Source organism: Homo sapiens, chromosome 12 (assembly GCF_000001405.40).
Source record: "Homo sapiens chromosome 12, GRCh38.p14 Primary Assembly".
Taxonomy (NCBI): Eukaryota; Metazoa; Chordata; class Mammalia; order Primates; family Hominidae; genus Homo; species Homo sapiens.
The window spans coordinates 66,570,522-66,596,104 of NC_000012.12; the positions used below are offsets into that span (position 1 = coordinate 66,570,522).

The window sequence follows — 25,583 nt, forward strand, 5'->3', positions numbered from 1 at the left end:
ATTTTGAAAAGAGGTTTCTACTGCTAAAAAAACAAGTGTGAACCCCTGTCACACTTGTATGGCCATTTCTAGCTTTAGCATTCTCTAAGTCTATAATAATGCTGCACAGGCTAAGTAACTGAGTCTCGAATTTCTGGGACCTTAACTGGCACAGGCTTCTTCCAAAGTCTTGGGAGGCATCCTAGCAATGTATTCACACCACCATATGGTTTTGTCAAATTCGAAAAATGATATTTTTGTATTTTTTTTCTTAAAGAACTCCCTCCCCTCAAATTGTATAAACTTGAGGCGGCACAAAACCTAGATCTTCCTTTGATCATACAATTTTATATCAAGACAGCACTTAAGTTGGCCAGAAGAGTCACATACATTTGATTCTCACAGAAACCCAGGATCCTACAGATGAAAAATCTGAAGCTTTTGAAGGTTAGACAACTTGCCTAAGGACAGGTATCAGGCAAATCCTTTTGTGAGGACTTAAAACTCTAACTTCAGTTCTCATTCCACATCCAGTCTTCTTTCTGCACTATCACTTTAGTTAACATGGGTTGTCTTGGCTTGACCAGGTTGCCAAAGTGACTCTTATCATAAAAGAGTTCTGAATTCTAATTGCAAGTTCTAAGACTATTTTTCTTTTATTCTGAATGTAAACATGAAACTGTAAAACCAATTGTAGCTCAAGTAGCCTGTGAAAGTCACTTTCACACGATGTGTAAGAGAATATTTACCGATTTGTATTGAGTAAACCACCTGCCAAACCCTCACTTGGGAGGCCACACCAGTTCCAGAGAATAACAACTTTGTGTTAAAATTCCAGAAAAATATGCCTGCTGAGTATCTTTTTTGTTGTGTTTGTTTAATCTTTGTTAAGCTCAGTGATATATGCACATATAAGAACATATTTTTCTCATATCTGAAATCTGGATACATACTTCCTGAAAATGTATTACTACTGCCTTTGTTTTTTTTTCATTGCATATTTTCCTTTCACAGATTCATCATGTAGTCTGAATATAATACCCACTCTTGTTGTCAAGCACAAACAGAAAAGAGTACAGTTTCCCTTTAAAAGCACAATGCCCTATTGATGCCTTTAAAAGTCATTAAAGAATATCTCACAAAGCCCAGGAGAGCATTACAATAATTGCTTCCCTTTCCTAGGTGAAAAAGGACATATCTGTCAAATAGAAAAGTGCAGAAGCAATTAACACCTTAATACTCTACTGGGAAATTGCCTGAATTAACAGAGATGCTTCATGGTTATTGTATTTCTAAAGTTTAGTTACTAGCATGACTGTCCTCAGTCATTTCCATTTACTTTCCCCAGGACAACAGGGCTCGGAGTTAGGTATGGGCATGGCAGAGGGTGTATTTGAGTGTTTGCATATGAGGCACACATGGTTCTTCAGTCACATGTTTCAGAGGATGAATGCAGAAGTAGGGCTGGTGTATGCACTTATGAAATCAATACGTAAGGATACATATGTTTTAAATCAACTTCTCAGGCCTAAAAAAACCCCACACTTCTGGATTCTGTGCTGCCCACCCATGGAACTGCCTTATCAGTCCTCTTCCAGGGCTGGGGTACTCAACAGAAAGTTTATATTTACCAGGCCTTCCTCAGAAACAGCGGAGGCACATGAACGAACTGGGGAGTGAATCAAACAGGTAAAAACCCTTGTATATCAGCGGCAAGATCTAGAAAGAGCCTAGCAGTCCAATTCATTATCTCTCCCTCTTCCAGGAGATGTTAGATGGTGTTTATTGAGTACAGTCTAGGCATACCTACCTGGTTAGAATTTTGAGAGACACTGAAAAAGTAAACAGGGCCTGGGTCCCTTTTCCTTAGGAAGAAACAAACCTGTAAATTATAGTAAAGGTAAAGTGTGTTTCCTTCCTCCCACCCCACCCCCAAGCATGGCTATTCTATGAGGGATCAGGGCAACTCTCAGAATTCTCAGAGAAAATCATATGGGGTGTTCTAGTTTCCATTTTTACACAGGTGAAATCAGACAAAAGTGAAAAAAGACAGCATGGAAAAAAGAAAGTAGTAATGAACTCAGGACAATGCTGAAGGAGGAGGGGGCAGTTGGTTCACCTTGTCTGGTGACAGGGTAATCTCAGGTGACCTTCAGGAGCTATCTGGCTCAACGCCTATTTCCATTTGGTTTTCTTTGCTACGTGTCTACAGTCTCCACCCAGTAATGGTCTGAATACCCCCAGTGTGAGAAACTAATCCTCCCAGAAAGCCATCTATGCCTTCTTCAGATAGCTTCCATGGATAATAACTCACATTTATTAAAAACTTTATATGCAGTAGGCCTGACTTGGTATGCCATGGAGGACGGTGTTCTCTATGATCTCATATGTTTTCTATATGACAGTTCTCTATGATCCTTAACTCCTGATGTTCACTGCCCTTAGATGTCCTCTTTCCTTGAGTGTGGGCATGACCTATGGCTTACCTCTAACCAGTAGATATGGCAAAGCTTCCAGATGCATGTTGTTATATATATGCCGACTATGCACATATAACATATGTATATATGTCGGCATATATATGTTGTATATATGTCGGCATATATATGTTATATATATGCCGACTGTAGCACCTATCATGCTCACAGCCTTGTCTCCCTTGTGGGCTTTGAGGCTGGGGCTGAAGGCAGCCTCTGGGGCTGACAGCCAGCAAGAAACCAAAGCCCTGAACTGAATTCGGCCAACAACCTGGGTGCGCCTGGGAGTAGATCCTCTCTGAGTCAAGACTCAGTCGAGACTGCTATTCTATTTGACACCTTGATTGTAGCTCTGTGAGACCCTAAAAAGGACCAGATGAGCCGTGCCTAGAATCCTGACCCACAGAAACTGTGGGATAATAAACGTGTATTGTTTTAAGCTGCTAAATTTGTAGTAATATTGTTACATGGTGATAGATAACTAATGTAAATGCTTTATGTGTATTAACTCGTATAATCCTCATTACACTCTCATTTCACACAATGGGAAAACTGAAGCATGAAACTGAAGCAACCAGCTTAATTCCACACAGTAGTAGGTGGCAGGGCCGGCATTCAAGTAAGGCAGGCTAGCTCCAGAGCCTGCGTTCCTAACCAGATAGGTGTGCTGCCTTCCTATGCTTAGAAAGTTCTACCTTAAGCTGCTTCCTAGTCTGATTCCCTAAAGCTTGACCCCACAGCACGAATCAAACATCCAAACACAGGTGCTAGTCAGAGAAACTGAAAGAAACAAGCTGTGCTGGACACACATGTACAGGGTACGGATGTGAAACAGGGTGAAGAGCAACAGGTGCTGCCTCCCAGTATTCACCAGCCAAACGAGATGCTTCTGTGTTTAGACGGTGACTGCTGAGAGGGGGATCATGCTGGTTGGTGCCCTCTGGCCTATGAGTTCTAGTTCTGCCTCTAAGATCATGGAAAACATGATAATCCCTTTTCCATATGAGCTGAAATATTTCAAACTATTGATCTTTTTTTCCCCCAAATCCTCTATTTTCTCTTACTCACATAAATGGTGAGTTGTTTTTGCTGTTCTCTTTTGCAAATGGTCTTCTTGACACGTGCAGAAACAAATGGTTGTAGGCTCTGTGTGGTATCAGCTGGCAGAGATGCCTCGTCTTCTTCCTCATCTGCAGGGCTGGGTCAGGGATGCCCCCCACCCACCCAAGATATGGTTCTGATAGGCAGCGTCAATTCACTGATATTCTTTCCTGTCATTATAGCGGTTTTAAAAAAATTATCCAGGTAATAAACAAATGCGTTTTAGTGTAAGATTCCAATGAGACAGAAGGATTTGGGGCAAAGCCCAAGGGCACTCCTCTGCACTCTCCTTCTACTCCTCCCATCTCAGAGGAAGCCACTGTCAAAATTTGTGCCAACCTTTCACTCTCTCTTTTAAAACACTAACATTTCACCTAAATTGGATTGAACACCACAAAATGACTTGCTGTTTTCCAACATACCAATATGTCTTGGAGATCTTTTCATGACATGGCCTACAGGTCTACCTCATACGTTTAACAGTTTTATAAACCTTCCTAGAATAATGACATCCTAATTTGTTTGACCATTCCTCTATTGATAGATATTTTAGGTTGCTTACAATATTTCATTAACATCTTCAACATGCATCTCTGTACAGACTGACTTGCTATTATATTTTATACCCAGTTCTGCCCACTTTCATGGTCAACTCCACTCTACTTGTCCTCTTGCAGCTGACTGAAGGAACTCTCTGTTCCCACTTTTCTTTTTTTTTTTTTTAGACGGAGTCTCGCTCTGTCGCCGCCCTGGCTGGAGTGCAGTGGTGTGATCTCAGCTCCGCCTTCTGGATTCAAGCGATTCTTATGCCTCATCTTCCTGGTATAACAGGCACCCAGCCACCATGCCCAGCTATTTTTTTTTTCTATTTTTAATAGAGACGGGGTTTCACCATGTTGGCCAGGATCATCCCGAACTTCTGACTTCAGGTGATCTGCCTGCCTCAGCCTCCGAAAGTATTGGGATTACAGGCATTAGCCACCGTGCCCGGCCTCCATTCCCACTTTTCAACAGTGAATCAGAGTTGGGAGAGGTCCCTTCCTATTCCTGGTGACACCCTCTTCCAAACCAACTGACATTCTCCCTCAGAGGCAGTGACTGATGATAACAGTGGTTGTCAAGTCTACTTATATATTTTTTTGAAGCATTCCTTTATCAGATTAGGATGATTCTAAAAATTCACCACCTTTTATGAGTAGCAAGCACAGTTACATCTTCATGCACAGGTGTGAGTATTATTAAAGGATATATTCCCAGAAATATTGGGAAAAACATACATTTTAAAATATTTTTATTGATGATACCAATGTGTCTTCCAAAAAGTTTATATTCCTATGAACAATTAGAAGTGTTTATTTTTCGGTATCCTAGATAACACTTGATATAATCAGCATTTTAAATATTTACCACTTCATTTATTATAAACTCCTAAAACTTTCTTTCCTTCATTCCTTGTGTCTGAAGAGCAGAAGAAGAGTTCTTGCCACCATAATGACAACCACCTTCATCTGGCCTCCTAGAAAGAATAGATCCTGGATAGGCTTTATTAGCTTATAGGCAATGTTATCCTGCAAGAATGGTAGCTAAAAGGTGTTCAGGACAACTAGAAAATTTTTCCAAGTTCTGTAGTCCCAAATAAGAAGAACATAGGCAAGAAGTCTCTGCTTGTAGAAGCTGGTATAAAGTTACTTTTAGCATTTAGCTGAAATACTGAGCTACTCAGTTCCAATGTTGTACCTCCAGTGGCTTCAAAGGAGAAAAATCTTAAAGTAGAAAGGATTGACTTTAAGGTTAAAAGAAACCTTATGCCAAAGGTAGGCAAAATCATATTAAAAGAATGCCCTAGCTGTTTAGAATATATTCAAGTTTCTAGAGTCAGATAAAGTTAAGCCAGAGAATTAAAATAATGTATAAACATGACTATGAAATGAAGATAAAAATCAAAGGTATGCTGAAAGGCTGGAATGAGCAAGAATCTCAATTTCTATATTGAAGGATGCCAGAAATCTTAGACCTCTGGGATATGTCCTGGCAACATTTTAGAAAGGATTATTATACCACTGAAGAATAAGGAAGGTAAACCACCACCATATAGAAAGATAATATACACTAGTTATGATATTTTAGTATTTCAGTGGGACTTTTAGAAAGATCTCTCATAATAACCTGTAGAGAGGATGGACTACCATGAACTGAGTGAAAATGATACCCAAAGCCTGCAAATCAGCATGCATGGGTAAAAGGCAAGATCTCTGCCGGGGATGCTGCAAAGCTCTGTCCTTGGCACTGCTATGCTCAAAATTGTTAACACTATTTGATGCTTATCAAATTTGAAGCTAATTCATTGCTAAGAAGAGTAGTAGATGTATGTGATGATCAGGAATAGAGACTATTTCATCAAGTTGGAAAGAGAAGCTGACTCACTCGAGAGCTGTGTACATAGCTGAAAGAAGACAGCCTTTGAATTAAGGTGATTCTAAACTCAAATATCAGTCCCGTTGTTGGGTAGACTTGGACAAGTTACCTAAGCCTCTGTGAGCCTTAATTTCTTCCTCCACAAAAGAGGGATAACACCTCTGTTTTTTAAATAAATAAGACTGACATGATTTTTGGTACATAACAGATGCTCACTAGTAGTACTCTTCCTCCTCTCCTCTTCTCAAACATTACTGGCAGAATATAAGAGAAATAAATGTGCAGACAATTGAATGGAGAGTACAGAGTTGCACAGCATTACACAGAGTACTACCCCTCAAGGGTGGAAACCTAGCTCTTAAGAGTGATTCATAAGAATAAGACCTGTATGTGTTAGTTGATGGCAAGTTCAATATAAACAAACATCATTATTTCATTTAAAAATACAGTCATAATCTGCGTTGAGTATTACATCCAGATCAGGTGAGCTAATGGTTTTCTTGAACTCTGTTCTTTTCAGACCAGCAGCGTGGCAAAGTGTCTAGTTTTGGCTGCTCCATGCTAAAGACCATTGACAAACTAAAGAAAGACTAGCAGGATATGGAAAACATGTTCTATAAGGCAGAACCGGAGGAAGGAACATATTTTATCTGGTTTAAACAACAACAGCAACTCAAGCAAGAGATGATAGATGTATTCAAGTATCTGAATGACTGACTTTGGGGAAGCTCAGAAAGATTAGAAGAGCCAGTGGGTAGCGGTTCAAGATAAGAAACTTCAGTCCATCAGGGTAAGGAATGCTCAACAGAGATGTAAAAAAGCAGGGGTTACTTTGTAAGACAGTAAGTTTCCTGTGTCTAAAAATATTGAAGCAGAAGAAATTAGATGTGGAGTTTCCAATAGTGAAAGTAGAACACAAAGGGGAAAATATGTGTATGTGATGCACGCACATATTTTTTTAGGTGTTTATTAGAGAAAGATCAGTAAGAGCACTCCGAGTTCCACTCTATCATTCTATTTCATCATTGTGTAAGGGTTGATTTATAATATTGATGAGATCCTAAGGCAGGTGATGAAAGGAGACTCTTTGATTTGACAAACATGGGTTGCACTCTGCTATGAACACTACTGGGCAAAACTTTGTGGGTGGAACTTTTAATAAAGATACATTTTCAGCTGGGTGCAGTGGCTCACGCCTGTAATTCCAGTACTTTGGGAGGCTGAGATGGGAGGATTGCTTGAGCCCAGGAATTCAAAACCATCCTGGGCAACATGGCAAGATTGTGTACCTACAAAAAAAGTTAAAAAAAAATTAGCTGGGCATAGTGGCATGTGCCTGTGGTCTCTGCTACTCGGATGCTGAAGTGAGAGGATGACTTGAGCCCAGGAGGTAAAGCTTTTAGTGAGCCATGATCATGCCACTGCACTCCAGCCTGGCTGACAGAGCAAGATCCTGCTTTAAAACCAACCAACCAATCAACAAAACAAATAAACATTTTCTTGAATTTAAGGGACTATAACCTTAAATTAAATGTAAGTCTGCAATCCAGGAAAACAATTGCAGAGCAACTTGAAACAGGATGAGTGAAACTGCTGAAAACTTCAATAAAAATATAAAATATTCTGGGACAGGCATGGTGGCTCAGGCCTGTAATCCCAGCATTTTGGGAAGCCAAGGCAGGTGGATCAACAGAGGGCAGGAGTTCAATACCAGCCTGACTAATATGGCAAAACCGCGGTTTTTTTTTTTTTTTTTGTAAAAATACAAAATTGAGGGGAGGAGCAAAGATGGCCAAATAGGAACAGCTCTGGTCTACAGCTCCCAGTGTGAGCGACGCAGAAGACGGGTGATTTCTGCATTTCCATCTGAGGTACCAGGTTCATCTCACTAGGGAGTGCCAGACAGTGGGTGCAGGTCAGTGGGTGCAGCGCACCGTGCGCGAGCCAAAGCAGGGCGAGGCATTGCCTCACTCGGGAAGTGCAAGGGGTCAGGGAGTTCCCTTTCCTAGTCAAAGAAACGGGTGACAGAGGGCACCTGGAAAATCGGGTCACTCCCACCCAAATACTGCGCTTTTCCAAAGGGCTTAAAAAATGGTGCACCAGGAGATTATATCCCGCACCTGGCTCAGAGGGTCCTATGCCCACGGAGTCTCGCTGATTGCTAGCACAGCAGTCTGAGATCAAACTGCAAGGTGGCAGCGAGGCTGGGGGAGGGGCGCCCACGATTGCCCAGGCTTGCTTAGGTAAACAAAGCAGCCGGGAAGCTCCAACGGGGTGGAGCCCACCACAGCTCAAGGAGGCCTGCCTGCCTCCGTAGGCTCCACCTCTCGGGGCAGGGCACAGACAAACAAAAAGACAGCAGTAACCTCTGCAGACTTAAATCTCCCTGTCTGACAGCTTTGAAGAGAGCAGTGGTTCTCCCAGCACGCAGCTGGAGATCTGAGAACGGGCAGACTGCCTCCTCAAGTGGGTCCCTGACCCCTGACCCCTGAGCAGCCTAACTGGGAGGCACCCCCCAGTAGGGGCAGACTGACACCTAACACAGCCGGGTACTCCTCTGAGACAAAACTTCCAGAGGAACGATCAGACAGCAGCATTCACGGTTCACGAAAAACCACTGTTCTGCAGACACCGCTGCTGATACCCAGGCAAACAGGGTCTGGAGTGGACCTCTAGCAAACTCCAACAGACCTGCAGCTGAGGGTCCTGTCTGTTAGAAGGAAAACTAACAAAGAGAAAGGACATCCACACCAAAAACCCATCTGTACATCACCATCATCAAAGACCAAAAGTAGATAAAACCACAAAGATGGGGAAAAAACAGAGCAGAAAAACTGGAAACTCTAAAAAGCAAAGCACCTCTCCTCCTCCAAAGGATCGCAGTTCCTCACCAGCAATGGAACAAAGCTGGACGGAGAATGACTTTGACAAGTTGAGAGAAGAAGGCTTCAGACGATCAAACTACGAGCTACAGGAGGAAATTCAAACCAAAGGCAAAGAAGTTAAAAACTTTGAAAAAAACTTAGATGAATGTATAACTAGAATAACCAATACAGAGAAGTGCTTAAAGGAGCTGATGAAGCTGAAAGCCAAGGCTCGAGAACTACGTAAAGAATGCAGAAGCCTCAGGAGCCGATGCGATCAACTGGAAGAAAGGGTATCAGCAATGGAAGATGAAACACGTGAAATGAAGCAAGAAGGGAAGTTTAGAGAAAAAAGAATAAAAAGAAACAAACAAAGCCTCCAAGAAATATGGGACTATGTGAAAAGACCAAATCTACATCTGATTGGTGTCCGTGAAAGTGACGGGGAGAATGGAACCAAGTTGGAAAACACTCTGCAGGATATTATCCAGGAGAACTTCCCCAATCTAGCAAGGCAGGCCAACATTCATATTCAGGAAATACAGAGAACACCACAAAGATACTCCTCGAGAAGAGCAACTCCAAGACACATAATTGTCAGATTCACCAAAGTTGAAATGAAGGAAAAAATGTTAAGGGCAGCCAGAGAGAAAGGTCGGGTTACCCACAAAGGGAAGCCCATCAGACTAACAGCGGATCTCTTGGCAGAAACTCTACAAGCCAGAAGACAGTGGGGGCCAATATTCAACATTCTTAAAGAAAAGAATTTTCAACCCAGAATTTCATATCCAGCCAAACTAAGCTTCATAAGTGAAGGAGAAATAAAATACTTTACAGACAAGCAAATGCTGAGAGATTTTGTCACCACCAGGCCTGCCCTAAAAGAGCTCCTGAAGGAAGCACTAAACATGGAAAGGAACAACTGGTACCAGCTGCTGCAAAATCATGCCAAAATGTAAAGACCATCGAGACTAGGAAGAAACTGCATCAACTAACGAGCAAAATCACCAGCTAACATCATCATGACAGGATCAAATTCACACATAACAATATTAACTTTAAATGTAAAGGGACTAAATGCTCCAATTAAAAGACACAGACTGGCAAATTGGCTAAAGAGTCAAGACCCATCAGTGTGTTGTACTCAGGAAACCCATCTCACATGCAGAGACACACATAGGCTCAAAATAAAAGGATGGAGGAAGATCTACCAAGCAAATGGAAAACAAAAAAAGGCAGGGGTTGCAATCCTAGTCTCTGATAAAACAGACTTTAAACCAACAAAGATCAAAAGAGACAAAGAAGGCCATTACATAATGGTAAAGGGATCAATTCAACAAGAAGAGCTAACTATCCTAAATATATATGCACCCAATACAGGAGCACCCAGATTCATAAAGCAAGTCCTTAGTGACCTACAAAGAGACTTAGACTCCCACACATTAATAATGGGAGACTTTAACACCCCACTGTCAACATTAGACAGATCAACGAGACAGAAAGTCAACAAGGATACCCAGGAATTGAACTCAGCTCTGCATCAAGCGGACCTAATAGACATCTACAGAACTCTCCACCCCAAATCAACAGAATATACATTTTTTTCAGCACCACACCACAGCTATTCCAAAATTGACCACATAGTTGGAAGTAAAGCTCTCCTCAGGAAATGTAAAAGAACAGAAATTATAACAAACTGTCAGACCACAGTGCAATCAAACTAGAACTCAGGATTAAGTAACTCACTCAAAACCACTCAACTACATGGAAACTGAACAACCTGCTCCTGAATGACTACTGGGTACATAACGAAATGAAGGCAGAAATAAAGATGTTCTTTGAAACCAAAGAGAACAAAGATACAACATACCAGAATCTCTGGGACACATTCAAAGCAGCGTGTAGAGGGAAATTGATAGCACTAAATGCCCACAAGAGAAAGCAGGAAAGATCCAAAATTGACACCCTAACATCACAATTAAAAGAACTAGAAAAGCAAGAGCAAACACATTCAAAAGCTAGCAGAAGGCAAGAAATAACTAAAATCAGAGCAGAATTGAAGGAAATAGAGACACAAAAAACCCTTCAAAAAATTAATGAATCCAGGAGCTGGTTTTTTGAAAGGATCAACAAAATTGATAGACCACTAGCAAGACTAATAAAGAAAAAAAGAGAGAAGAATCAAATAGATGCAATAAAAAATGATAAAGGGGATATCACCACTGATCCCACAGAAATACAAACTACCATCAGAGAATACTACAAACACCTCTACGCAAATAAACTAGAAAATCTAGAAGAAATGGATAAATTCCTTGATACATACACTCTCCCAAGACTAAACCAGGAAGAAGTTGAATCTCTGAATAGACCAATAACAGGAGCTGAAATTGTGGCAATAATCAATAGCTTTCCAACGAAAAAGAATCCAGGACCAGATGGATTCACAGCCGAATTCTACCAGAGGTACAAGGAGGAACTGGTACTATTCCTTCTGAAAGTATTCCAATCAATAGAAAAAGAGGGAATCCTCCCTAACTCATTTTATGAGGCCAGCATCATCCTGATACCAAAGCCAGGCAGAGACACAACGAAAAAAGAGAATTTTAGACCCGTATCCTTGATGAACATTGATGCAAAAATCCTCAATAAAATACTGGCAAACTGAATCCAGCAGCACATCAAAAAGCTTATCCACCATGATCAAGTGGGCTTCAACCCTGGGATGCAAGGCTGATTCAATATATGCAAATCAATAAATGTAATCCAGCATATAAACAGAACCAAAGACAAAAACCACATGATTATCTCAATAGATGCAGAAAAGGCCTTTGACAAAATTCAACAACCCTTCATGCTAAAAACACTCAATAAATTAGGTATTGATGGGACGTATCTCAAAATAATAAGAGCTATCTATGACAAACCAACAGCCAATATCATACTGAATGGGCAAAAACTGGAAGCATTCCCTCTGAAAACTGGCACAAGACAGGGATGCCCTCTCTCACCACTCCTATTCAACATAGTGTTGGAAGTTCTGGCCAGGGCAATTAGGCAGGAGAAGGAAATAAAGGGTATTCAATTAAGAAAAGAGGAAGTCAAATTGTCTCTGTTTGCAGATGACATGATTGTATATCTAGAAAACCCCATTGTCTCAGCCCAAAATCTCCTTAAGCTGATAAGCAACTTCAGCAAAGTCTCAGGATACAAAATCAACGTACAAAAATCACAAGCATTCTTATACACCAATAACAGACAAACAGAGAGCCAAATCATGAGTGAACTCCCATTCACAATTGCTTCAAAGAGAGTAAAATACCTAGGAATCCAACTTACAAGGGACATGAAGGACCTCTTCAAGGAGAACTACAAACCACTGCTCAATGAAATAAAAGAGGATACAAACAAATGGAAGAACATTCCATGCTCATGGGTAGGAAGAATCAATATCGTGAAAATGGCCATACTGCCCAAGGTAATTTATAGATTCAATGCCATCCCCATCAAGCTACCAATGACTTTCTTCACAGAATTGGAAAAAACTACTTTAAAGTTCATATGGAACCAAAAAAGAGCCCGCATCGCCAAGTCAATCCTAAGCCAAAAGAACAAAGCTGGAGGCATCACGCTACCTGACTTCAAACTACACTACAAGGCTACAGTAACCAAAACAGCATGGTACTGGTACCAAAACAGAGATATAGATCAATGGAACAGAACAGAGCCCTCAGAAATAACGCCGCATATCTACAACCATCTGATCTTTGACAAACCTGAGAAAAACAAGCAATGGCGAAAGGATTCCCTATTTAATAAATGGTGCTGGGAAAACTGGCTAGCCATATGTAGAAAGCTGAAACTGGATCCCTTCCTTACACCTTACACAAAAATTAATTCAAGATGGATTAAAGACTTAAACGTTAGACCTAAAACCATAAAAACCCTAGAAGAAAACCTAGGCGTTACCATTCAGGACATAGGCATGGGCAAGGACTTCATGTCTAAAACACCAAAAGCAATGGCAACAAAAGCCAAAATTGACAAATGGGATCTAATTAAACTAAAGAGCTTCTGCACAGCAAAAGAAACTACCATCAGAGTGAACAGGCAACCTACAAAATGGGAGAAAATTTTCGCAACCTACTCATCTGACAAAGGGCTAATATCCAGAATCTACAATGAACTCAAACCAATTTACAAGAAAAAAACAAACAACCCCATCAAAAAGTGGGCGAAGGACGTGAACAGACACCTCTCAAAAGAAGACATTTACGCAGCCAAAAAACACATGAAAAAATGCTCATCATCACTGGCCATCAGAGAAATGCAAATCAAAACCACAGTGATATACCATCTCACACCAGTTGGAATGGCAATCATTAAAAAGTCAGGAAACAACAGGTGCTGGAGAGGATGTGGAGAAATAGGAACACTTTTACACTGTTGGTGGGACTGTAAACTAGTTCAACCATTGTGGAAGTCAGTGTGGCGATTCCTCAGGGATCTAGAACTAGAAATACCATTTGATCCAGCCATCCCATTACTGGGTATATACCCAAAGGACTATAAATCATGCTGCTATAAAGACACATGCACACGTATGTTTATTGCGGCATTATTCACAATAGCAAAGACTTGCAACCAACCCAAATGTCCAACAATGATAGACTGGATTAAGAAAATGTGGCACATATATACCATGGAATACTATGCAGCCATAAAAAAGGATGAGTTCATGTCCTTTGTAGGGACATGGATGAAACTGGAAATCATCATTCTCAGTAAACTATCGCAAGAACAAAAAACCAAACACCGCATATTCTCACTCATAGGTGGGAATTGAACAATGAGATCACATGGACACAGGAAGGGGAACATCACACTCTGGGGACTGTTGTGGGGTGGGGGAGGTGGGAGGGATAGCATTGGGAGATATACCTAATGCTAGATGACGAGTTAGTGGGTGCAGCGCACCAGCATGGCACATGTATACATATGTAACTAACCTGCACATTGTGCACATGTACCCTAAAACTTAAAGTATAATAAAAAAAAATACAAAATTAGCCAGGCGTGGTGGCACATCTCTGTAATCCCAGCTACTCGGGAGGCTGAGGCAGGAGAATCACTTGAACCCGGGAGGCGGAGGTTGCAATGAGCTGAGGTCACGCCATTGCATGCCAGCTGGGGAAATAAATAAAATAAAATATTCTGGGTGTTATAAAAATGATTATGGAAGGGAGAAGTTAGAGGAGAGAACCCAGTGGAATGGAATATGCTATATGGGAATGTCACGGGCCTCAGCATTAGAAGGGTAAGTTTAATTTGTCCCTTTTTAATTTGAGGAGGCAGGGTTTGTAAGAAGGAAGAGGGGTCTATTAGTTAGCGCTATACTGCACTGCAGGGTAATACTCTGACAGTGTCCTAGGTAATCCACTCTCCCAGTCTTTGAAATGATACCTCCTCTCTCTCTGCGCCTTGAACATCTCCTTCCCCTCCATACTCTCTGTGGATGACCTCACCTCTTATTTCACTAAGGAAATAGAGCAATCAGAAGATGACTCACACATCTTCTCAGCAGGGACTGTAGCACCCTCCTGCCTCTATGCCCTTCCACACTGCCTTCCCTCCCGCTGACCCGTTGGTGCACACTGGATGCACCCCTGCCTCTTTTGTTTTTTTATATTTGATTATTTTATTATTTTATCAATTATGATATTCAGATATACTTCTTTTTTTTCCTTCTTTTTTTTTATTATACTTTAAGTTTTAGGGTACATGTGCACATTGTGCAGGTTAGTTACATATGTATACATGTGCCATGCTGGTGTGCTGCACCCACTAACTCGTCATCTAGCATTAGGTATATCTCCCAATGCTATCCCTCCCCCCTCCCCCCACCCCACCACCGTCCCCAGAGTGTGATATTCCCCTTCCTGTGTCCATATGATCTCATTGTTCAATTCCCACCTATGAGTGAGAATATGCGGTGTTTGGTTTTTTGTTCTTGCGATAGTTTACTGAGAATGATGATTTCCAGTTTCATCCATGTCCCTACAAAGGACATGAACTCATCATTTTTTATGGCTGCATAGTATTCCATGGTGTATATGTGCTACATTTTCTTAATCCAGTCTATCATTGTTGGACATTTGGGTTGGTTGCAAGTCTTTGCTATTGTGAATAATGCCGCAATAAAAATACGTGTGCATGTGTCTTTATAGCAGCATGATTTATAGTCCTTTGGGTATATACCCAGTAATGGGATGGCTGGGTCAAATGGTATTTCTAGTTCTAGATCCCTGAGGAATCGCCACACTGACTTCCACAATGGTTGAACTAGTTTACAGTCCCACCAACAGTGTAAAAGTGTTCCTATTTCTCCACATCCTCTCCAGCACCTGTTGTTTCCTGACTTTTTAATGATCGCCATTCTAACTGGTGTGAGATGGTATCTCACTGTGGTTTTGATTTGCATTTCTCTGATGGCCAGTGATGATGAGCATTTTTTCATGTGTTTTTTGGCTGCATAAATGTCTTCTTTTGAGAAGTGTCTGACCCCTGCCTCTTCAAAGACTGCTTTTGCTTTTATCCCCTCTTCCTCCTGCACGATTTTCTCTCATTCCACTATATCATCCGCATCAGCACACGAACATGCTGCATCCTCTCTTATGTATATATTTTAAAGTTCTCCATAGACCACATGCTCCCTCTGGCCACTCTCCCATTTTTCTGCTCCCTTTGATAGAGAAACTCTGTTTAGAGTTGTCCACATTCTCTGCCTGTTACTCAAGTCCTATTCTCACCTCCACCCATTCAAATGAGGCTTTTACTCCCACCTTTTCACCGAATCTATTTTTGTCAGGGTCACCAAACCTCTCTTCTTATAGAATCTTATGGCCAATTCTCATTCATCTCATCATCAATATTTGACCTAGTTTTTCTCTCCCTCTTTAGTGACATGTGGCTCATAACTTGGATTCCAGGGTACTACATTCTCCTGATCCTCATAATCACTGCTTTTGTTTCTTCATATCTTTGGCTGAATCTTCCTTCACTGCCAACCTCTGAGGCTTAGTATGCCCCAGTTTCAAACCTTGGACCTCATCTCAATCTATCTGTGCCACCTAGAAGACCTGTCGCCCACCCTCAAGGGTGTAACTACCATTGACAAACTGAGAGCTTCAAAATTTCTATCTCCACCTAAGCTCTCCTCTGAGTTCCCCACTCCCCTGTTCCACTGATCCATTTCTTCCTGGGTTATTTTCTGTTTCAGTAAATGGCATCAGTATTTACCCAATTGTTAAGAGCAAAAACCCTGGAATTATCCCAGACTTCTCTTTTCCTCTCTCAGCCCACATCCAATTTGTCAGTAGGTTATTTAGGTTCTTTCTTCAAAATTTGACCATATTTTACTACTTCCACCTCTACCTCCTAGTCTAAGCCATCATCATTTCTTGCCTCAAATACTGTGGCAGCCTGCTAACTGGTCTTCTTGTTTCCACTTTTGTCTCCTTAAAGTCTATTTTCCATATAGCAGTTAGAGAAATTAAAATAAACAAAAAAGAAATTACATCAATACATTAACCCCTACAATGGCTTCCTATACTGCTCAGAATAATATCCAAACTCTTACCATGGCCTAAAAGCTCTACAGGACACAGCCTTGTCTCTTCTCCAGACTCATCCCTTACACCCTCAGCCTTGCTTCCCAGTTTCTGGCCATGCTCAGCCATTCAATTTGGCATAATATTGTTCAACCTCCTCTCTCTTTTCTTGTTTCTTTTCACTTATTAGCAGAAGTTTCTTTCTCTGTTTATTTAAAAGCCAAGGTTTTTCTGCCTTCAGGGACTTTGCATTTGCTCTTCTTTTGGCCTAGAATCCTCTTCCTCCAGATCATTACGTGGTTCACCACTCTCACCACTCATTTCAGGCTTACTCCAAAGTCACCAGCTCATGGAGGCCAACCTTGGCCTTTGGAGGCAATGGAGGCCTCAGGTTTTCTATCTGAGCATGGACCCCATAACTTTCTGCTCCCACACTCTCTACTGTTTACACTAGTTCATTTCCCTTTATTGTACATAGCATAGCCTGACCTTAGGCCAGGCATTCAATGTTTGCTGAATGCCTGTTTCAACTGCTAGCCTGCCAGCTCCAGGAGGACAGAGGCTAATAGGCTGGATTCACATCTATATTCCTAGCACCAGGAACAGTACCTGGCACACAGTGACTGCTCAACGAGTAACTGTTGGATAATTACATGTTGAATGAATGTATGAGGGTCAGTTTAGAGGAACACTCAGAATCAAAAAGTGAGAGATCATTTTAGTTATAATGGATGTAGCGAGCAAGTAAAGGATGGGCCAGAGCAAAAAGGAGAATGCAGCGAGTGTGCACGGGTGAAGGGCAAGGGATCAATGTGTCAGTGGTTTACATTCCGTGCAGAAGGCAGAGGGGTTCCAGGGGTGCAATCAAACTGCTAAAGAGAGCAAAGAGCTTTGCCAGGTGCTGTAAAGTATTTCCACCCACATTTTGAAGGGGAAATCTTTATAACATCTGTTTAATGTGTAGCCCAGTAATAGGTTTTAGAAATGTATAAGAATATTTGATTTTAAAAGAATTTGTGTATCACTTATATATTTTATATATTTATATATAGATATTATCAGAGTCAGTGAGTCAAGACTGACTATGATGCCACAGAACACAGTGACTCGTTTCATTTTCTCGGTGTTATTTTACAGCTTTGCATTATTCTGTGGTTTTAAAGGGGAAACATAAAGCATAGTTATGGTGTTACCAGTTTCAGAATAAGTAGTTAAAAGCCTTCTTGGCCAATTTTAATTTTTTTCCTTGACTGGAAAGCTCTGAAAGGCATAAGTGTATGGAACGAACTGTAACACAACCCGAAGCCCTGGTAGTTCGCCTCCTCGGTTTCTCCTGGTACTCAGTTACTTAGAGAGATAATGGCATGAGCCCTGTGACCCCAAGCCATTACTCATTAACCCCCCTCTAATTGAGGGCTCTAGTCAATGAGGACTGAGATGGATGGAGTCTGTGACTTGGATGGACAGAGATCACCCACATTCAGAGGCTTCTGCTCACCTCACACTTTCTTGATACTTCTGAGCAGAGGCTCAACTGGCCTTGAGAAGTCAGTCTTCACATTTCATTCTAAGTAAGGATTCTCTTCACCACCTTTTCCCTTCCCTCACTACTCAGGATTATGGTCAAAATTTATATTTAACTGGGGTTTATCCAAGGTCTACCGTTTTCTAGCCCTGTAATTTTAGACAAGCGACTTTAGCTCTCAGAACTTCAGTTTGCTGGTGGGGTGCAGTGGCTTACGCTTGTAATCCCAGCACTTTGGGAGGCCGAGGCAGGTAGATCATGAGGTCAGGAGTTCAAGACCAGCCTGGCCAACATAATGAAACCCCATCTCTACTAAAAATACAAAAATTAGCTGGGCATGGTGGTGTACGTCTGTAATCCCAGCTACTCGGGAGGCTGAGGCAGGAGAATCGCTTGAACCTGGGAGGTGGAGGTTGCAGTGAGCTGAGATTGCAACATTGCACTCCAGCCTGGGTGACACAGCAAGACCGTGTCCCCCTCCTACAAAAAAAAAAATTAAATAAATAAATAAATAAATAAATAAATAAAAGAACTTCAGTTTGCTCATGTGTAACAGGGGAATTAATAAAACTTATTTTCCCCCGGTGATGTTTCTGAGGAAGAAATGAGATGATATTCATAAAAATGGCTAGTCCAATACTTGGTACTTAGCATGAAATACATGGTAACTAGTACTTGTATAATTATTCCCCTCCCCCACCTTCTCTCTCTCTCTCTCTCTCTCTCTCTCTCTCTGTCTGTCTGTCTCTCTCTCTCTCTTACTCTCGCTCTAGGTTAGGTTACTCCTATGATCATTTCATTCTTGTTATTCCCTAAGCTTTGGCGTAATATTGTTCAACTTCCTCTTTCTCTTTTCTCGTTTCTTTTCATTTGTTAAAAGAAGCCCCCAAAGCCTTTCACTGTCATTCAAATGACATGTTTCTGCACTACAAATCAACAACTACTTACTGACTACTGACAAAGTGAAGTTTTGTGGTTGTCAAAGTCATGTCTTCTGAGAAGCATCTCATTCCAAGTCAGTGTTTCCCAAAGTAGGTGTGTATAAATATTGATGGATGCAAGATGATTTAAGGTGACATAGAAACCTTTGTTTTTAATTTTCAGAGTTAGAAAACATTTATTTATATTAGAAAAATATGATTAGCATATAAAATTACAGAGAGTAAAGCCTACGATAAACCTAAGTAAAGAAGTATACCAATTTAAACTTACTTAAAATAATATTAATTATAGTATAGGTGGAACACAAATATATAACAAAAATCATGAGGATGACATGTGAGTAACTGACATTTGGGAAGCTGTTCTGAGTCAATATAAGGTCAATAGATAAGAAAAGAGTATTAATAGGCCCAACTTCTCTATTCAACAGTAATCTATGTAAGATGCTTCTTCACTTTCCTCAGTGCCAATCAAGCCATACATCTTTTACCCAATTTAATTTTCTGAAGTCACCTACAACCCTAGGTTGAAGGTCTAGCCAAACCCAGGAATGAGAGAATTAATTTTTTTTTCACTGCAAAAGTAATAGAGGGAAGAGACTTTTTCCTTATAGCTCTTATGGACATATCCTCAGTCGGCCTCTAAAATTTTTCTGACACTGGAGGCTGTTGCTAGCTGTCATCAGAGTCACTCCGATACCACATGTACCTGGAGCACAACATTGACCAAGTGCCACCTCTCCTGTGACAAAGGGGTACCCAAACGGGGATTCGGGAAATATCAAAGCACAGTCACCACAAAAAAATTTCCCCTAAATTGCATGCTGGAAGAATTATTGTTTAAAAATCACTTGCTGCATATGCACCACTTTATTGTATTTCAGCCAATGTTTACTAAGGCATGAAAGAAGTTCAAACATAATAGACTGTCATTCCTCCAAATCACTAATGAAAGCTATGGCTCTGAACACACAAATCAAGGTGCTGGTTTTGCCTTGTGCTATTTGAGGAGCACTCAGTATGTACTCCCAGCCACATAGCAAACTGGATCAGTTCTCTGGAGGAGATAATTAATGCGTACCTGCCATAATAAGTAATATGTTCGGCTCTGCATTGCTCTATTTATAGACTAGGGTTTTTCCTCATATTTTTTAGCACTTTTCTACAAGCAGAACATGTGAATGAATCACTCTTATCTTGTCAATTTTATTATTAAATGGTGCTCAACTTTTTCCTAGGGTGTTTTAGGACTGCACAGACATTTTCTGGGCAAACAGAAACAAATGAGGCTGGGGGGAACCTCTGGCTTTTCAAAGTCTCTAGCTTCTGGCTGACCTATATTCCATTCATTAGTCTTGGGCAGCAGGCATTTTGTTGGAAATGTCATGTTGGGTGGAGCTTCAAGGCCAAATGTGAGAATCTGCTGCAGCATACAATGAGACAGAAAACATGTGGTCAACAGAGAACTTGTTGCACTTTTTTTTGTAGGAAAGTATGCCAGTCTTAGGGCCACAGATTCCTCACAGAGAAAATCTACCTGCTGACTTTTGCTTATTCATTCATTCCACAAGTATTGATCCAATACCTAACATTTACTAAGCACTGTTCTATGCACTGGAGATAACAGGTGAACAAGATATAGAGGACCTGCCCTCCTGTAGCTTACATTTTAGCTAGGGACTGAGAAATAAAAAAATAATAAATTTATCAGTTAATTTCATATAGCGATAACTACTATGGAAAACAAAACAAGACATGGGAGAGGGACAGAATCTCAGGTATATTTGCAATGCTATCAGTCTTGACTTTATAATCATAGAAACTTATCTGTAAAGAAGCAATGTAATTTAGCTACTTTCTTAAATATTCAGTAATTTTAACACTCGTAAACATAATTTTAGGTTCTTTCTTAAGGCTGACACTGAATGGCTTTGGCAGAGTACACCCGGCCCTTAGTTCTCATTGTCCTCACTTTGGCCCACTGGGAGCTTGTGAGGATACAGGGACAGCCCAACTGAGAAGCAAAGGTACTTATCCCTTGGTATTTTCCCCATGTTGATCATGTCCTCATTAATAGCAGATTTTGCCTTAGTTTCTTTGGGCAGCAACCGTGTACTTTGTATGACATTTCATACTTGCTTGATTCAACTGACTTTGGTTTCTCATCCCTGAGATGCACTCATTTTTTTTGTTTATTTTTATTTTTTACTTTTTGAGAGGGGCTCTCACTCTGTCACCCAGGCTGGAGAACAGTGGTGCAATCAAGATTCACTGCAGCCTTGATTTCCTGGGCTCAGGCAATCCTCCTACCTCAATGTCCTGAGTAGCTGGGACCACACGTGCATGCCACCATCCCCAGCTGATTTTTGCATTTTTTGTAGAGACAGGGTTTCACCATGTTGCCCAGGCTGTAACTCCCAAGCTGAAGAGATCTGCCCGCCTTGGCCTCCCAAAGTTCTGGGATTATAGGTGTAAGCCACTGTTTCTGGCGTCACTCATTTTTTTGGAGAGTCTCAATAGTAGAACTAACCAGATGAAGCAGAACCAGGCATTTACACACCTGAACAGTGGTATAGCTGTAAAGTCCTAGTGTAAAAGTCACACTATATATCTTCTGTAATAATAAAAAATTACACAAATGAAGCATCTAATTATATGAATAAAAAAGACTGGAAACATTTGGAACAGAGAGGGCAGAACCTTCAAATTCCTGTTGTAGCCTCTTAACTTAAGGTTACCAGCTCCTCCCTGGTGTCAAGGGTATGGTATTATGGGGATTATTTTCCAGACTTTGATTGTTCAACAGATGTTGAATTTCCTGGATGCATTCTAATCAGCTTGACTGTATACATCTTGGGCTACTGGACATTTTAGATTCTCAGCTTCATATTTTTACTACCCACTTCCAAATACCTAAATGTGAGCAACAACAAAGACTGATGTAAACTGTACTCCCTTAAGACCAAATTGATAAGCATTTCTTACAGTCTAGGAGGGGAAAAGAAATCCCACACAAACATTCATGGCATTATTCTGGATACAGATTTAAGAAAATTTCCCTGGGTGCATCAAAGTTTAGAAATGTAATAGATATGAATATTTGACATCTTCCTGCATTTGTCAATTGTCCAGAATTCTTTGGGCAATTAATCAAGAGTGACATAAGCAAAAAAAGATGTCCTATATAGAAAGAGGAGGCAAGTCAAATAAGTAATATACTAACTCTAGGCTTTGAGGTCAAGTGTAGTATCCTGTCTTCCCTTCACAAATGAGACAGACATTATTAAATGCCTCATCTCTAAGTGGGCAAGACCACAAATTATTGCAAAATATGCCAAACTCAAAGTCTGTACAGATTTTCTCTAATGACTTGGACAAACCCTTCAAGTGGTCAAACTTCATTTCACCAGTAATCTGTCAAATACAGGAGAATCAATAGATTCTTTTTAATAAACATTGATATATGGTAGAATCTGTTAGTTCTGAATACCTTTGTCCTTGGAATTTATCTTATTTTTGAAAACTAATGGGGAGAAATGAAATTGAAAATACATCTCCCTAATATTTTTAATCAAATATTAAGTCTCTAATACAAACTTAAACTTTGGTGTCATAGGGACACTCATGTCATTTTTTACTATCATCCATATTAAAATTTTCATTAAACCTTATGGAAAACTAAAAAATCCTTTTATTCTTACATTTAATGCCATATGAGACATGATTAAAATGACAAGTTCCCAAATAACATGAATAATGTATTTCTCCTTTATCGAAAGCAAACGCATTTTGCTCCTAAGAGTGTTTAATCCATTTCCTTTTTCAGGAAGAGGAAAGGAGGGTGATAAAAGGATTTACGGTTAGAATTGGTATTTAATGAAAGACACATATTTGGCTTGTGATTATAAAATAACTGCTGTAGTTATTCTGAGTTTAGATAGGAGTCATATATTTTGACATGAATAAAAACAAATTATGATTCTGTTAACATTCAGATTTACCTCTTTAGGACAGAAATGTTTAAAGTTACTCTGTATTAGTCATGGAAATAGTAGAGTCTATATTAAGAAGCCTTATTTCTGTGTATGTATATAAATGTTAACTTCAGGAAGCACCAGATCTACATTTATAGAATAAGTTTCAAAGAACAGCTTAAAATATCATAAAACTTAGATAGAGAAGCTTAAGGTGCCTTCTGCTACTTTACACTCTTTTTCCACTGCATTCCACCCCATTCATCAGAGAAAGTGCTAATATGAACGGTCAAATCCAGTCATCAACTTTGGACCACTGGGAGTGGAGCTTTAGGGGAGATATAGGCAAAAGCCATAGCTCTGTTAAGATTTCAGCCTCGGCTGGGCACGGTGGCTCACACCTGTAATCCCTGCACTTTGGGAGGCTGAGGTGGGCGGATCACGAGGTCATGAGATGGAGACCATCCTGGTCAACATGGTGAAACCCCGTCTCTACTAAAAATACAAAAAATTAGCTGGGTGTGGTGGTGGATGCCTGTAGTCCCAGCTGCTGGGGAGGCTGAGGCAGGAGAATGGTGTGAACCCGGGAGGTGGAGCTTGCAGTGAGCCGAGATCGTGCCACTGTACTCCAGCCTGGGTGACAGAGCAAGACTCCGTCTCAAAAAAAAAAAAAAAAAAAAAAAAAGATTTCAGCCTCCTTGTGTTTGCTTACTCCCCAGCAGCTGGGACAGGTCAATGGCCCTGGAGCTGCATCTTACTTGGGAGGGGCCTCTGCATGGAGAAGGTCAGAAACTAGTACATTAGCCAAACTCTCCTTTAGGGCTTCTTTTCATTGGTGCACTTTTCTCTAGAGGCATCTTTCCATGCTACCGGGGTGTTAAAAATACCTTGAGGGAAGTAGGATTGGGAGTGAGCACAGGAGAAGGAGACTAAGACTGTAAATGTCATCTAGATTAAGCTTGTCCAATCCACAACCCATAGGCTGTAATACAGCCCAGGACGGCTTTGAATGTGCCCCAACACAAATTTGTAAATGTTTTAAAAACATTATGAGATTTTTTTGTGATTCTTTTTTATTTTTATTATTACTTTTTTTAGTTCATCAGCTATCATTAGTGTTAGTGTATTTTATGTGTGGCCCAAGACAATTCTTCCAATGTGGCCCAGGGAAGCTAAAAGATTGGACTCTCCTGAATTCTGGTGCTTACAGCTCTATATGGTCCAGCTTAGTCCAGGAGTGGTCAGGAGACCACTTCAGGATTTTTCATTTGAAGCTCTGGTAAATAATAAAGAGGATACATTTACTTGGCCTTTTCCTCTGTGCATTTTTCTCTCTCTCATGGACTTAGTGGGGGCACAAGTGGACATGGTAGGTGATTGCTCAAGACTTCTGGATGTTGGGTTTCACCTCTCTTTAAGTTACTTCTTGGCCAAAGATCTGAGAATACTCTTCTTTTTGCCAGAACAAAAGTTCATAGGTACTTTTAAGTAAGACAGTAAGGGATCAGAACTCCATGAGTCATTAGTCAGTCAGGAGGCAATTTCCAAGAAGTTTGTTAATTCTCTCCCTAAAATACTATTAAGTAATAATCTACTGTTAACTACTTTGGTTTCTTAGCCCTCTGGCTGGTGCAATCTTTTTTCTTGAACTGTTCTAAATAACTAAGAAAATTCTGAACACTCCTAATATCTCTGGCCCCTACCTTAAGAGAGATGAACAAAAAGGGTTCTATCAATGGTCAAGCTCCAGGAAAACATCTCGTAAAACTCACCAACAGTTAATGATTCCAGTGACTTTTAAATCTAACATAAAGAGAAGGAAAAAACAAAATTCATGATGAAAAATAATGTGTGCCACAAACCAGGGATTATGATGAACCAATTCTGTGTATTTAACATGTAACTTAAAAAACTACTTTATGACTTTAAGAAAAAGGAAGGCCTTCAAATGTGTTGTCATTTAGAATGTGGCATTAGAGAACCCATGAAAAGAAAACATTGATAATAGCATATTTGCTTAGTATCCCATAGAGTTGTAAGGACACTGGGAAGTCTCCTGCTTCTTCCCAGCAGTGGAATACTCAGTACCAGTGAATGTAGGGTAGCCAAGAAAGAATTGATGGGTAACTGATATTCTTGAACTTCAAACGGGATATTTCTTTAATGCTGACAAGGAGAAAGAGGATAACACAGTCCAGAGCTGACTGTAATAGTTTTTCTAAATGCGACCAGCATGAAGAATGATGTTTTATAGGATAAAATAGAAGACATCTCGGCACTGGGTGATGCCATCTAATTGTAGAATTCAAATTGCTTTAGAATCTTCAAAGCACCAAAACAAGGATGTATAACATATTCATAATATGTGTCTTCATAAGTCCTATACTTTCAAAATGAATCTGAGCCTTTGGAATAAGAGTGAAAATAACCACCTGAAATTTTTATAAAAATAAAGAATAATCATGAAGAGAGTTACTCACAAATGGGATTCATCTTGCTCTTTATTCAAATGGAAAATTCTTCCTTTCACTGACACATTTGCCAAACCATTCCAGTTAATGTAGGAAACACCACTTTGTTTCTCCTGAATTGCTAAAACTATTGTACTCTAAAATCCTGTAGCTGAGGTTTAGCTGTACTCAATTTGCTTGTATAAAATATATAATACATCATTTTACATAAACGTTTAAATGCATT

The 25,583-nt window shown here is 40.3% G+C and overlaps 1 protein-coding gene across 22 annotated transcripts in view, besides 1 other annotated feature; it reads right to left on the minus strand.

The window, feature by feature from the left end:
* GRIP1 (glutamate receptor interacting protein 1) overlaps positions 1 to 25,583 on the minus strand; it is a 721,908-nt gene that overhangs the window by 223,091 nt on the left and 473,234 nt on the right. The gene's annotated exons all lie outside the window — the stretch shown is intronic.
* Positions 13,951 to 14,187: a silencer, noted in NCBI's record as "fragment chr12:66978252-66978488 (GRCh37/hg19 assembly coordinates)". NCBI's record gives its function as "represses an EF-1alpha promoter that drives an FKBP-Casp9 reporter gene in an ReSE screen in both phorbol 12-myristate 13-acetate-treated (for megakaryocytic differentiation) and untreated K562 erythroleukemia cells {active_cell/tissue: K562 | K562(+PMA)}" and the evidence as "EXISTENCE:reporter gene assay evidence [ECO:0000049][PMID:32094911]".